General features: G+C 42.4%; 1 protein-coding gene across 7 annotated transcripts in view, besides 4 other annotated features; it reads left to right on the plus strand.

The window, feature by feature from the left end:
• Positions 1 to 15130, plus strand: part of TNFAIP8 (TNF alpha induced protein 8) — a 130930-nt gene that overhangs the window by 87254 nt on the left and 28546 nt on the right. Inside the window, exon 2 of one of the 7 annotated variants that reach the window (NM_001286813.2) lies at positions 11 to 109. The exons of 5 other annotated variants lie outside the window; for them this stretch is intronic. In NM_001286813.2, coding sequence (NP_001273742.1) covers positions 79 to 109 — 31 coding nt within the window. In that variant the 5' untranslated portion in view covers positions 11 to 78. Of the gene's footprint in view, positions 1 to 6; positions 110 to 15130 lie in introns of those variants that run through there. One more of the 7 variants, NM_014350.4, reaches the window with a different exon arrangement.
• Positions 542 to 836: a silencer, noted in NCBI's record as "tiled region #6110; K562 Repressive non-DNase unmatched - State 23:Low". NCBI's record gives its function as "represses a minimal TATA promoter and a strong SV40 promoter by Sharpr-MPRA in K562 cells {active_cell/tissue: K562}" and the evidence as "EXISTENCE:reporter gene assay evidence [ECO:0000049][PMID:27701403]".
• Positions 634 to 693: a silencer, noted in NCBI's record as "silent region_16266". NCBI's record gives its function as "represses an Ori minimal core promoter by ATAC-STARR-seq in GM12878 lymphoblastoid cells {active_cell/tissue: GM12878}" and the evidence as "EXISTENCE:reporter gene assay evidence [ECO:0000049][PMID:35858748]".
• Positions 10478 to 10537: an enhancer, noted in NCBI's record as "active region_22979". NCBI's record gives its function as "activates an Ori minimal core promoter by ATAC-STARR-seq in GM12878 lymphoblastoid cells {active_cell/tissue: GM12878}" and the evidence as "EXISTENCE:reporter gene assay evidence [ECO:0000049][PMID:35858748]".
• Positions 11649 to 11748: an enhancer, noted in NCBI's record as "active region_22980". NCBI's record gives its function as "activates an Ori minimal core promoter by ATAC-STARR-seq in GM12878 lymphoblastoid cells {active_cell/tissue: GM12878}" and the evidence as "EXISTENCE:reporter gene assay evidence [ECO:0000049][PMID:35858748]".

Here is a 15130-nt window from a genome sequence, read left to right on the forward strand (position 1 = left end):
TTCGCTGCAGAGCGAACTTGCGGCTCGTCCGAGTACATGTGAGCGGTAATCGCCCCTGCAGCTGGTTATCCTGACATTATGCACTCCGAAGCAGAAGAATCCAAGGAAGGTAGGATTCTGGTTTCTCCTGGGGGCCGGCCAAGTTCTGCGGAGGAATTTGGAGGAAGGCAGTGGTAGAAGAGGATGGGAGTTTTAAAGTGAGCGGTGGGCACTTTGTCCGCTTGCCCTGCGCCTTCGAAGCCAAGTCGGAGCTGGATAAGCGGAGCCCGGGTCTCATCTTGGGCTCCCTTCTCCCCCCGCAGCCGTTCAGAGGGGAGGGGAGGAAAAGTCGGACCTAGTTCAGCCAGCCCACTAAGTCTGCTTTTTAGCTTTCTCTGGAAACGAAAGAGCCCCACTTGGACTCCAAGAATGCAAAATGTGCTTGGAAAAGGGCTGCCTGCCTGCATCAGAAAGACTGAAAGCGGGATCCCTGGAAGAGCCCTGAGTGGAGGGTCCCTTGAAAAGGGGTTTGAGAAATTAGAAACGCTATATGTTTCCGGCTAAAAGGGGAAGCTGAGTGAGGGGAAGCGAAAATCTGTATTTGAGAAATAGATTAATTTTTTTTCATTGCTGGGTTTTCAGCAGTGAGTTCATTTCGTTGGGGGTTTGAGGGGGCTGAAAGATATGAGGGGGTCCTTGTGCAGCTTGAAACTGAGAAGAGTTTGTCTGTTTCTAACTTCGCAAAAGCAAAGGGTTTCATTTACTCCTAACAGAGAACAGGTGACAGGGCTGGAAAAGCTCCAACCAAAACACAATTATACGCTGGTGTTAGTTTGGGGAGTTTATTTGTGTGTGAGTGTTTGTATGCTTTGTTCCTTGAAACTTTATGTATACAAAAGTTCTCTTGTAAGTGGGGGGTGGGAGTAAGGGTGGTTGGGGAAAATTAGAGAGTAAGAGAGGAGACTATTCAAGATTGTGAAATACTCTTTCTTTTCATGTAGTCTCTTGGAAAGCTGGTTAATTTCAAGTCAATCACAGCAGTTCTGGCAGAGGAGCAGCCCCATCATTTCTCCATTTGGTAGACACCAGTTAGGAAGAGCCCTTGAAACTTGTCCTCTTCTGCCTTTTACTGATTCCCCTCCCAGAGGAAAGCTTTGTGTTTCACCATGTAGTCTTTGTGGGCTCACGTTTACCTTATTATGCTGTGTGAGGGAAATAGTCAATAAAAAGGAGGTTTGTTTAATAGAAATACGGGGCTGGCATGAATGAAAAATGACAGCCAGGAGCATTGTTTTTGAGTTTGATGTGGAGTATGGGGGGAGTAATGCTTTCTTGCCGTGTCCTGTGTTCTGATGGAGCTGTGTGCTGATAGATGCTTTTCTTTTCTATGTCTTTATACCAGCAGTTTATTCAAAGTCAAAGGTAGTTGAAGGCAAATAGGAACCAGGCTGAGAGAACTCAAGGGTGAACTTCTGTGTGAATTACAAGTAGCACTTAAGCTGGCGTTTTCTCTCAGGTGTGTTTTCCCTGTCTTTTGAGAAAGAGAGAGTGGGAGAGAAAGTGGAAAAACAGTATCCCAAAGTGTGTATTATACATTCCCATAGCAACATCCACAGTCTTCCCTCCTCGAGGGCCCAGCTCTCTGGTTTTAAGTTTGGAAGCAGCCTGCAAACTGGCCTATGAAGAGGTTAATGGGGCCCCTTCTGCTTGTTCCTCACCTTCCCTCCACTTGTCATCATTTACATTCTGCAGATCGGCCACAAATGATATGGCGCTCTGCTTTTTAAAGAAAGCCCAGAATGTTTCTTTTAAAATAATCTGAGGTAGTAGAATTTTAAATTGATAGCAATTAGGGTGGGATACTGAATAACTCTTGAGGGAGATTGAACACTTTATTAATCAGATAGAATCATATAGCTTCTGCCAGGAAATGAAGGATAGGTGTCTGTGTGTTTTGGGTGTGTTTTCTCCAAGGCTGGTTCATTGGCTGTAATCTAGAACCTTCTGGTTAGCTACCACCACTCAGATGTCGATGAAGCGAGCTATGTTGTGTAAATAACTCAGTTATCTTCTCTATCGTTACTAGTCCTTTTCCTCTTATACGTAGCTTTTTTTTTTTTTTTCATCCTGGTGAACTTATGTATCCCATTTAGTGTGAGATCACCATGAGTTCTTAAGAATGTCTGTATTGCAAGAAAACTGCCTTTGGATGCTTCATGCCTGATACGCTGTAAGAGGAGATACTTTTAAGTCATTTTTCTCAACTGTAGTGAGAGACTAGTATACTTTGGGGTTGAATCTAAGTCCTTGGAGGCCAGCATATTTTTGCATATGCGTGAATGTAGAAGCAAATGACTGGGGATATTGTTAAGCCATCAGAGCTTAAAACATACTTGACTCTGTGCCAGGGGTGCTGGATATTTGTCCCCAGCCTATAGCCATCTCCTAAATAATTGATTTAATTTTTCCTGCTTAACAATGAATAAGTGATTGTGCTTGGGTATTAAACAGAGAAAAATAATCCAGGCCTTGCTTTATTAAAAACTGAATGAGTTTAAATTATTCAGACATAGAATAAATAGGAAAGAAGGGGAAATGAAAGAAGAAACTCACTTTTTTAAAAAGGTGACTACCATTAAAAAGAGGATATCAACAGTTTCCAGTGGATGGGGCTTCCTGAGGAGATAGGCTGATAGCCGTGTATTTGGCATTTAGTTGTTTCCTGAGTAAATTGCTTAATTATGAAGTAGTTAAAGTGAGTGGCAGTTGAGATCTCTGAGAATCTTTCTAGTGCTAAGCATCAAGGCATCCAGGGCTCCTTTGCTCTGGATGTTGAAGCATTGATACCAGAAATTGAGAAAGCCATTGTTAAGGGGTGGGCGAGGTGTCACTTTGTGGGGACTTGGAAAAGAGTGAGGATTGAGTGGTGAGTGAGTCTGGCTCGCTCCTCCATTGCCCATAGTAGCCATTTCCCACCACCACCTCACCCAGTTCTTACTCTCATGCCTCACCAGGCCTGCTATTTCACAAAGAAAACAGTAGCCATTAGATAACTCCCTCAACGTCCTGTTCCCAGACTGACAGACTCATCTCCGTCCACATCTATCCTCCCTGTGTCTGTGGAACAGGTGTCATTCCTACTGCAGAATGCCCCGCCTTCCACCTTGGGCTCCTCCTACACCAGTCAGCCCATATCCTTCCTGGCTCCTTCTTTTCTGCATATAGAAGAACTCAAGCTCCCCATTCTAGGACATTGGCACTTGCTGGTCTTCCTGCCCAAAATATCCTTCTCTCCACCTGACCTCCTTTTCTTGGTCAGCTCTTTAAAGAGGCTTTTTCTGAACCTAAACTCAGATCCCCTGTCGCCCTCTCTCAGAGCACCTGTTCCTTTCCTTGCTGGCTCTCCCCACACTGCTTAACATCTCTTCTAGACCACAAGCTCTGCAGGGAAAAACAATGTCTGTTTTATTCCCCGCTGTATGTCTAGGACCTACAGAGTAAAAGGTGCTCATTAAATGTTGTAGATTGAGTGAATGGTCTCCATTCTTTAAAGTTAATCCTTGGCAAAAAAAAAAAAGTTTAGTTGTTCCGTAGTGGTGATTAATATCCTCTTCTGTAATAAGAATCCCAATGATATTTTATAAGCTACCACACTGTGTAGTACTCTGTTTTAACCTCACATGGTGTGGCAGCTTATATAATATCATTCATCACTAAGGACTATTTTGTAAGTTTTCTCCCCTATTCCTGCCCTTCCCCAGCCTTTGCTTTGCAGAGGGAATGAAGAGAAAAGGAGGTTAAAGCAGTGGTTCAGCTCTGATGAAACCAAGGGGTATAGCTGACCTTGATGTCATACATAATGTAAAAGGTACAGCATATGCTCTTAAACACCGGACTTTGACGTGCTTATCTGTTTCCTTTTATGTAGTCATTAGGCTTGGAGTGTTGTGTGCTGACAAGGACTAAAAGTGGAAAATCCATTTAGAGATCTATCATACTCTCTCCTCTACAGTGGACATCACTTGATAACTTGGCATTGCCAGACACCTCCAGCTCTGTAAACTTAAATGCATTTGGAGCTTTTTTCCCCTCACTTCTGAAATTTTTATCATATTGAATATGCATCCTACCTTTCTTGCCCCCACCTTACGCCATTGAACAGTCAGGATTATATGGATGATTAAATTTCCTGCTCCTGACTGTTGGTGATCCAGGAAGTAGCCAAAAAGTGGGTGGGTGAAAGAGAATGCAGTAGAGCCAGAAAAACTCAGGACCCAGCGATTGCATTTCAGAACACTGCAGAATTGCTGGATTTACCTATAAATCATTTATTTGTCAGCATTTCTGTCTTTATGCTAGCAACTTGTAAGTCAGTGAGATTAGTGTGGTTATAGACCTGTCTTCATTTAGAGAAGATTGTTCTTTAAAACATAGTGTAAGCTGAATTAAAACAAAACCAAATGATATGTATATCTTTAATGTTTAAGGAAGGTCTGTAGTAAGAAGTCTTCTGTAATTTAAAGTGCCCTTCTCCCACCAAATACACATAGAATCACCATGATTTAGAGCTAAAAGCGACTTTGCCAATCCTTCTTTCTGACCTCTTCATTTTAGAGGTGAGGCACTGAGGCCCAGCAAGGTGATTGCCAAGCCCTTTCTATCCTCTTTAATACATGTTCTGCAAGCAAGGATTTTTGCAAACACAGGTTTTAGCATCCTGGGTATTTGTATGCACTCTCCTTGAAGTAGGACAGACCTAGTCTGTTTGTATAGTTGTCATTCACTACCTCTTGGGGGGATTTATAAAACGCAGATGAATGTTTAAACAAATGAAGATTTCCTGTTTCACCTTCTACGTGTAACTCAAGAGAATAAAACATGAGACATTGTGAAATAAAATTTAGCTCTGCAAGTAGATCCTATTAGATCCCGGATTTTGAAAGTTGTAGACCAAGTGAGAGGCAGGTAAACAGTGAGCTCACTTGTTTTCATTCCTTTGAGAATATCATTCAGGAAAAATTAGCTATTGAGGGTGTTGGTTGGGTACAGACACTCTTCCTTGGGGAGAAGGTATGTATGTGTGTGGGTGGGAAGGGAGTCAGCATTCTGACACAGAATGTGCTATTGCAAAAGCAGACATCCCACAGCCTCTCTTTCTCTGGAGCACATTGCAGCAGGCCCGGTGCACTCTGGGAGTCAGGACACCTTTCTCAGGAAGCATTTGCGGGGCTGCAGCGCACTGCCCCCCCAGCCGCTGACCAAGATATCTGAAAGAGCAATTGCTTAAATTTTATTCTAAAAGTTTATAAGCCTTGAAGAAGAGGTACAGGGATGTAGTATGTCCTGAGTGACTAACTGCTGAGTTGGGAATAAATTGCCTAAGGGAGTGCTGCCCTGGGAATCTGTAAGATTGAGTAAAGCCTGTTAGTTAAGCTGGTATTTATATGGTTTTGAAGATGGGGGAGGGGAGGAGTTGTGTTTATGTGGACTTAATGATAATACATTCTCCAGCTTTGTAGTGAATAATAGTTAATTTTATAAGTAACTAGGAACAGAGTTTCTTCTAAGAAGGTGATGAAGCAAAGAGACTATAAGCAGAATTCCCTACGTGGCTCTGATAGCTTTAGGTGCCTGAAGCCTCCAGACCACATTTGTTGAAGTCAGGGTTGACTGTCAAGAAGTGAATAAGCAGCTCATGAATTTTCCTTCCAGTTTGACCTGCCATTTATGCTTGGTGCCAGCTCACCTGGCTTCAATATGTGTTTTCATGTGGCCTACGCAGCCAGGCTGAGAAGCTGGGGACCAGGGGTGTCCCCAGAGGCACAGGCTGTTCTGCCTGTCATGGACTGTCCAGTAGACTCCTGCTTCCAGGGTGCAGCCCCTCTCCCTTGCCTGCTGCTGCCTTCTTTGAGCCTCAGATACTCCTAACAACAAATGTTAACTGAGATAGCACCTCCTCTGCAGGGCCTGGAGAAGCAAAAATGTGTGTGTAGATAACCCCATCTTCAGAGAGTTTTTGGTTCAGGGCATCACACACAGCACATGTGCATCCATAGTACAAAAATACATGATGGAGAGGGATGAGTACAGCTCAGAGGATCAGACAGTGGACCCTATGAAAGTCTAGAAGAGGGGGTATTCACCAAAAGTCATGATGGACAGAAGTGACTTCAAAGAGGGGTAACTTGTATTCCAGCTAGTTCCTTTAAGCAAATGGAGAAGAGAAAAAGAAAGAGTGAGTGACAGGGAACCTACTTATGCTGTGTGCTGGGATCAGGAAGAATGTCTACAGAAGTGTGGAGAGCAGTGATCATGGTGGGCATTCGTGGTGATGTTGTAGTGGTACATGGGGCCAGTCTAGAAGCTGGACTTTCCCAGGGGGACATTGTATGTAGGTAACAGAGATAAGACCCTGTGAGTCAGGAGACTGATCCTACTCATGACTTTGTTCCTGGTTGTCTGTGCAACCTTCAATAGCTACTTAATCTTTCTGAAGTTCAGTTTCCCCATTGGAAAAATTAAGGCTAGGCACAATGGCTCACACCTGTAATTACAGCACTTTGAGAGGTTGAAGGAGGTGGGTCAGTTGACCCCAGGAGTTCAAGACCGGCCTGGGCAACAAAGTGAGACCCCCCATCTCTACAAAAAAAATTTAAAAATTAGGCACAGTGGAATGCACCTGTAGTCCCAGCTACTTGGGAAAATCAGGAAGATCATTCGAGCCCAGGAGTTCAAGGCTGCAGTGAGCTATGGTCGTGCCATTGCATTCCAGCCTGGGTGTCAGAGCAAGATTCTGTCTCAAAAAAAAAAAAAGAAAAAAGAAATAGGATGGTTTTCAGCTGGATGGAGGAGGGCAGATGCAAAGTAGTGTTTTAGTAATGCCAAGCTGGCAAGAACCATGAGTTGGTCTGGAGGGCAAGATTGAACCTGAGTATAAGGAGCCTCGCCAAGAAAGTGTGAGAGTAGCCAGTCACAAAGGGAGAGTTGATTCCCCATATGTAGTCTCTGAGAGCAAGACTGTAGGGAAAGGAGGGGACTGGGCCATGGATTTAGCTTCTGAGAATATCCACTTTTACAAAGGAGAGAGGTAGATGGAACCAATAAAGGAAATAGAAATGGAGTAGCTCAAGAGGTAGGAAGAAACAAGGAGAGCATGGGGCCTTGGAAGCCAGAAAGGCGAGAGCCCCGTGGAGGCTGTGGTCAGCCTGTCTGTAGAGAAGAGCTGCTGAAGATTGCTTCGTCTTCCTTTTGGGCCTCAGCTAAAACCAGGAGCCTGGGTTTGAGGAGCTCATCTTCTAAGGGATGGGAATATATCATCAGTATTCAGTTAGTATTTAGCAGGTGATCAAGGGCATGAAAGAAGGCATGTGGGGCCCAGGAGGTGACTGCCCTGCCAAGAGCAAGTGCCCCAGCCTCCTGAGAAGCTGGCCGTCTCCATTTCTGCATGCTTTCCAAGTCCTAGTTGCCAGTAGATTCCTTTCCAGATTGTCACACCATCACCTCCAACCAGCATTTGGAAGAGCATTTGCCTACAGGCCTCTTCCTGTGGCATCACACAAAATATGCAGTGGTACATGAGGGTAACAAGTGAATATGGGCAGGAAATTTAATTCATCTTAAAAAGAAAAGTAACTGGTTTCCTATACATTCACAACATTGCTGACACCGAATGTGAGAGGGTCTTTCTTACACCAACCAGTTTTCCAAATTTCAGCGGACGTTGACTAGACGTCCTATAATTTAACTCATTTCTGACACTAATTGTCCAGAGTTAGGGCAGACCCCACAGGTTAAGGGCTCAGTCCCACAAGACTGTCCTCCAACTTGAGACAGCAATTGCAAGGCCAGGCATCCCATACTTTTGACCAACTGGGTATAAATTGGGGATTTGCATGACAGCCCCTCAGGTTCAGTAATTTCCTAGAACAGCTCATGAAACTCAGGGAAACATTTACTGATTTATTCTAAAGGATGCAACTCAGGAAGTGCCAACTGGAAGAGATGTGTAGGACAAAATACAGTAGAGGGATGCAAGCTTCCATGCCTTGTCCAGGCAGGCCACCCTCCCAGCACCTCCAGGTGGGATGAAGTCATTGGCCATTGGTGATTAAACTCAGTCTCCAGCCCGTCTCCCCTGCCCAGAGTGGGGGAACTGAAAGTTTTAAACCTCTAATCACCTGATTGGTTCGTCTGCTAACCATTCCCCATTCTGGTTTATGAGTCACCTCATTAACATAAACAGGTAAGTTTGAAAGAGGCTTATTATGAGTAACAAAAGGCACCCCTCTCACAACTATCACTCAGGAAATTCCAAAATTTTAGAAACTCTGTGCCAGGAACTAGGGACCAAGACCAAATATTACAACAAAAGATGCACCTATCACTCTGTTGTTTTAGAGATAGTCTCACTCCGTCACCCAGGCTGGAGTGCAGTGGCGGGGTCATAGCTGGGCTCAAGCAATCTTCCTACCTTACCCTGCCAAGTAGCTGGGACTACAGGTGCATACCACCTGCCCAGCTAATTTTTAAATTGTTTTGTAGAGACAAGGTCTCACTTTGTTGCCTAGGCTGGTCATGAACTCATGAGCTCAAGCAGTCCTCCCACCTTGGCCTACCAAAGTGCTAGAATCACAGGGATGAGCCACCGCGCCCAGTTATCACTCTTATCATTTAGGAAATTCCAAGAGTTTTGAGAGCTCTAGCCAGGAGCTAGGGATGAAGACCAAATGTATATTTCTTACTATATAACAGTATCACACAGCTCTTCATACTGGGGGAAAGCTTTGGCCACTCAAAATTAGATAATTTTTTTAAGGTAATGAAGGGTTTTTTCCCCTTTTTTCTTTTCAGTTTTTTTTTTTTTTTTTTTTTTTTTTTTGAGATGGAGTCTTGCTCTGTCGCCCATGCTGGAGTGCAGTGGCGCCATCTTGGCTCACTGCAATGTCTGCCTCCCAGGTTCAACTGATTCCCCTGCCTCAGCCTCCCGAGTAGCTGGGATTACAGGCGTTCACCACCACGCCCAGCTAATTTTTGTATTTTTAGTAAAGATGAAGTTTCACCATGTTGGCCAGGCTGGTCTCAAACTCCTGACCTCAGGTGATCCTCCTGCCTTGGCCTCCCAAAGTGCTGGGATTACAGGTGTGAGCCACCGCACCCAGCCAAAATCAGAGAATTTTTATTTGCTCCCTTTGGCCTTCACTTCCTCTCTCCTCGTATTTTTTTCTTCCTGTGACAGGAGTGCATGTCTTAGAATACCACTGATGTTTCTGCCAGGGGTACCCTAGATTTGGCATATAATTTGGAACTCTTAGGACTTTAGTCTTATACATATTAACTAGGATTTGGGCCACACTAGTAAGCTGAGCCATTTTGAGAAATTTTAGATTCCCTCTGAGATGGTAAGCAGTTGTTACACCAGTGGAAATATGCTAGATGGCTTATTCCTTGTGAGAACCAATGAGATAATGTTAGTGTAAAGCTCAGTGCTCAGACAGCTTCACTCAGGAGGTACTGTATAAATAAGGAGGCTTATAATCACACCAAAAGACAGAACCCTGCCCAGGCCTGCCTCTTCATTCAGTTAAGAAGTCCTCATTTCATATTCTCTAAAAAGCAGGTAAGAGTTGGCTTGCTCCAATAAACTTTTTCCTCCTGTAAAGTTGTTTGATAGCAAAATATTAGTGCACTGAGTGTTCTTATTATTAAGCACTTACAAAACCATTTTCACCTTTCAAGGATTAATATGAGAATTGCATCAGTTATGAAATATCTAGAATGAAAATGCATGCCTCCTCAATATCACAAGTCTAAACATTCGACTCAACATCTTCAGAAGAAAAGAGAATTAAAGAGGAAATCTCTCAAGAGAGTTTTCCAAGAGGTAGACAGAATTCAGGGGCAAGTAGCACCCACTGTAAGGGAAAGGAAATAATTATTGGGAAATCAAAATAGCAAAGAAAGTTAAGGGAGTGGCAGTTTGGCAGATTTCACAGTTCTGCAGGAACAATGAGGGAGACATAGCAGTTGGGAGCGATGGGGAGTAGGAGGGTGTGAGAGCAACAGGGTGGGTGGGATCCAGGCCTGATGAGAGCCTCCGAGGGAAGAAGTAGGAGTGGAGAGAGAGAGGAAGGGAGGAGTAAGGAAATAACTCTAAAATGAAAAAAAAAAAAAGTAATATGTGCAAAACTTAAGAAGTGACCAGCAGTATAATAGGCAAGAGACCATTGTAACTGGGTTAAGAAGTTTTGGCAGCTTGCTTATTTTGTTTGATTTTGCAGTTAACAGGAGAGAAAGTGGGGTGCTGGTGTCCAAAGCACTGTGCAGACTTGGAGCCAATGAAATGTGGCATTTGGAGGACACAGAAGCTCTCTAGTGCTTCTGAGGCAGGATTAATGCAGAGGCCCATAAACAAGGATGTGACATTGAGGAATGCTGCCCCTCTTCCAACTGCTAAATTGGGGCCAGTCGGAAGCCAGGGCAGTGTTATGTTGGCTTGGATTTCTAGCAACTTTCTTACTGGGTTATAAAAATGATTTCCTCAAAAAAGCTTGAAAATGGCAAATGATGAAGTAGAAAAGCAGTGGTGTCTGCCTGTGGGCATCATTTCAAAGCTGCCTGTGACATCGTGATGCCCATTTCTGGAGGGCCAGTGGTGAGTGGTTTGTTGGAGGGTTAAAGCCATCACTTCCAACCAGTGAAGCTGTACCTAACTTCGGGGGGTTTCCCTCATTAACAAGTCTGATGGTAAGCAGGCCTCCTGAAGGATTTCAGGCAGAGGATTTTTAGGGGTAGAACTGGTTTAAATTATTTGGCTTACTTGGCCATAGCTCTGACTTGGTGATTAGGCTGATGACCCTAGAAGTATAGGGGTGATTACTTGACATTCCTGTCCTTGCCACCTACCTATTCCAGCATACTTTGGGGTTGCCTCTCTGTGCAAATGGGGAGGGACATGAGGGAGAGGAGATGTTGATTGTAGGTCTCAGCAGTGAAACAAGCTGGCTAGTTTCAACATGTGTAAGGGTTAATCGGGTAAATTATAATTGCTGCTAGGAGAGGCAGCCTAGCTGAGCCCACCCAGCCCTCAGGGTTGCTGGGGAAAGGGTCATTCTTGCAATCCTTAATTGTTTTCCTCTTTCCCAAAGATGAGTTCTTAATGTAACATCATGGTCCATTGACCCATTAATAAAGTTTACATTCCTGATTTGTTTTAGTCCTCTGCATTTCTAGTTCTTTAAATTCTCAGATAACCCTTCCTTTAAAAATGCAATTCGGCCAAATTAAGCAAAGAAAGGAATAATTTGATTTTTTTGTTGCTGTTGTTTAGTTATTTGAGTCATTCTATGGTCTTAGGCAATTTTCTAAATGAAACGTGGAATGTCAACTGGACTATTTTGTCGTAGAGGATGGGAGGGAGAGAACTGTTATATTTGGTAGTGGTACTAGAATAGTATAGAACCTACCAGCAAAAGTGTCTCAGAGTAATATTGTCTGTTGTTTCCTTTCTATTTTTTTAAATGGCACCATCTATCCCTATCTTGTGAACTAGTTAAACATGTTTTAATTGTATATCTTTTAAAGCTTCAGTTAGCCAGATTTTTAAAAAAATGTTTGATGTTGTTTTTTATTCCATGAATGACTCAATTGACTACATGTAGGCAGCTACTAAACTTGGCAGTTTGTTGCCATTAGCATGCCCTTGGACAGGAAGTATTCAGTATAGATATGACAAACCAGTTTCCAGGCTTAAAAATAAAGCGGGGATTTCTGGACAGAATAGGTCTTTGTCACTCATTTCAACATGTCTGATGAGTGTTAAAGTTCAAAGCCTATCCCTTTGCTTTCTCATTTTTTTTCAGGCCATCACTTTACCTGACATATTCTATTATATAGATTGAAATTTATTTCATGATGCTGGTGTTTTGTTCAGTTTTTAAAAATGAAATAAGAGGATATTTGAATAGTCATGAGAATCAGCTAGAGTCAGTATTCTCTCCTTGTTATCTCTTTCATGTTTAGTTCCTTTTAAGTCATCTCCCCACTGAGGTAGGTAATGGTGAAATAATGTTTCCCTGCCTGTAAAGCAGCTTAAATTAAAAGTAGCAAGTGTGTGCCAGGTACACTACATGACTTCTCTTCTTGAATCTGTGGTCCACTTGAAATAGCATTTTTTTCCCCAAAAGTTGCTTCCCATCAGTCTTGTAGTTCTTAATTTCATTTGTCAGGTAGTCACTTAGCAACTTGGGAAGAATCATACTATTTTGACAGATACTAACAGGTTTTTTGGCATCTTGTTGCCTACAGTTATTGCTTTATGACTTAAAAAGTAAGTTCATACTTTTTTTGCTATCTCCCGAAATAATATAATTTTCCCTCCTGTCTGTTAAAAAAAAAAACCCACACTTTCTCTTCTTTCTTTCACTTACCTATTCTAAGCAGCGTGTGTGTGTGTGTGTGTGTGTGTGTGTGCGTGTGTGTGTTTGTGTTGGGGTTTAAGAAGCCTTGACACCACATTTCCTGGAAATACTAAATTAGTCACAGCATTTATTAGATGAGAGTGTCTACAACAACAAAAAACTTTCTTTTTCTGAAGACTTAACTCCATGCAAGTGTCAATCTCTGAGCGTCTATTTGTTTTTCAAATAAGAAACTGTGCCAGGGAAAGATGATTTGAAATACAAAATGCTTGCAAGTGTTTTTAGTTTGGGGTAAGGTAAAGTCAATAATGATTCTTTGGGACATTTTTCGGGACCCAACTAAATTTCATTTGCCAAACTTAGCAATAAACCATGTTTATAAAGAATGAGGTTAAGTTCTTGTTCTGGGGCAGGACATGGCTGTGACCCTGAGGTGCTTGTGCTCTGGAGCTCCTTGACTCTTCTTTCATGATGGGAGCAGGCCTGAGTAGCCCCTGCTATGCTGTACATTGAGCTTGATAAAACTCCGGCCTTTTGAAAATACTGGAATCCTCTACCCTAAATACCCTATACCTGTTCAAATAGGATGCTTTTAGGGAAAAAAAGGGAACTGTTAACATAAGCCAAACTTTCTTTTCTTTTCTTTTCTTTTTTTTTTTTTTTTGAGAGGGAATCTTGCTGTGTTACCCAGGCTGGAGTACAGTGGTGCAATCTTGGTTCACTGCAACCTCTGCCTCCCAGGTTCAAGTGATTCTCCTCCCTCAGCCTCCCAAGTAGGTGGGATTATGGGCACCCATGACCATGCCCAGCTAATTTTTGTATTTTTATTAGAGATGGGATTTCACCATGTTGGCCAGGCTGGTCTCGAACTCATGACCTCAAGTGATCCGCCTGCCTGGGCCTCCCAAAGTGCTGGGATTACAGGCATGAGCCACCGCACCTGGCCCAAACTTTCATTGAGTTAAATGAATCCCTGGTCTGAAACTGTAATTTCTTTAGCTTTGTAGTGCTCAAGACTCTTGGACCTGAAAGTGGCTGGTAAGCGTCTTCTAGTTTTTATGATGATGGGCACATTGTAGGCAAACAGAAAATGCCTGATAACCAGTGAGGTGTGAGGACAGGCATATGATTCAGAGTGTAAAATATTTTGCAGAATTAAAACTTAGGCAGTTTTTCATGAGATTCATAAATCATCCATACATTGATATTTTTTGTGCCTCTGGCCTCATTGTTTGGTTTTTAGGCATAGGACTGTGTTTTACTCAATAGGTAGTTGTATCATCCATGGTACCACAGTCTGTCAAAACCACACCAGACATTGATAATGTATTGTGCATATGGGGTGACCTTTAGGAAGGCTTGGTAGGACCTTTTTCTTGCTGGCTCCCTTCGAGCCAGTGTGAGTGATATTCCATCTCCTAGTCTGTGTTTTGGATCACTGTTCTCACGCCTAAAGTCAGAACAGACAGACCCATGGGAGGGACTTAACCAGGTTTGTCTAGGCCGATGGAGGGCTCTAATGGGGTCACTTCTTACTCTTTTGAAAAGTGGTGGAAACTGAAATGAATTGTCTTTCAAATTTGGTCCAATCACACTTTATTGTCTGAAAACTTCTGTCACATCTTGTGGCAGCAATGGAAAAGGGAATGTTTTAGGTAACCCTTGTGTTTGAAATGCCTGCTTTTCTTTTTTTTATTGTTTTTTAAATGGATTTTTGTTTATTTTGCCACAGAAGCAGCTCTCTGTTTTAATTTGTTGGAATTTAACATCTTTGGAGTTCTTCCTGGGTTCTAGCCACTGGAACACAAATCAGTCCAGAAGCTTATTACTAGTTAACTCTAATTTAAAATAAAAATCAAATTTCAGCAGAAAGATTGGAGAAGAGAAAGATATTACTTGATTGAGCAACAGAGAAACAATGCATGAATCCACACATAAAACTCTTTAAGTTGAGTAAAGGAGGCTTTCAAACCCTAATTCATGCATTTAACAACTAAAATCCCAGCTTTTCCCATGTTGAGTTTACACAGAGAAGTTAAAAGATAAATAGACTTTATCAGACTTTGACAGTAAATTAAAGACCCTTTATCTTCCTGCCTGGAAGTTCTATAAAATAATGGGTAATAAAGGCAAGCTATTAGTCAAAATGGTCTGAATTAAGCCTGGAAAGAAAATCTTGCCTCTAAGAGCAGAAGGGTGCAAAACACTGGCCCCTCCTGGGCTTGGGCCCAGAGACAAAGGAATAGTGGTTACTATGACCCAACATCAGTCTGCAGCCAGAGTTCCAAGCATCTTCTCTGCTATCCCTAATGATTTAAAAATATATAAAAATATTTCACATTCTTTACCCTCCATCAGAATGCAGTGAGCAGTAAGTCAGCTCAAGAAAATATGACCCAGTGCCTAACCCGTTGATACTTTATTAGATGCCATTAAAACTTTAGAGAGCTGGGAGATTATTAAGGCCTACATTTGGAACCTGGAATCTTTTCCTTTGGGAACCTGGAATCTCAACTCAAGGATTCTGTAGCTTGCTTTTTTGCCTGTATCTAAGATTGCTCTATTTTGTGATAATGTAAACTTAATGGAAGAAAATTACTTCATAGATGCTAGACATTCAAGAATTAAATCCCCTTTTCATGTTAGCTAGTGTCAAAACATTTGTTTAAACATGGTTTCTAAATTTTGATGGGGTAGCATACATGGTTTTATTTTATTCTGTAGATGTAGTGAAA

Source organism: Homo sapiens, chromosome 5 (genome assembly GCF_000001405.40).
Source record: "Homo sapiens chromosome 5, GRCh38.p14 Primary Assembly".
Taxonomy (NCBI): Eukaryota; Metazoa; Chordata; class Mammalia; order Primates; family Hominidae; genus Homo; species Homo sapiens.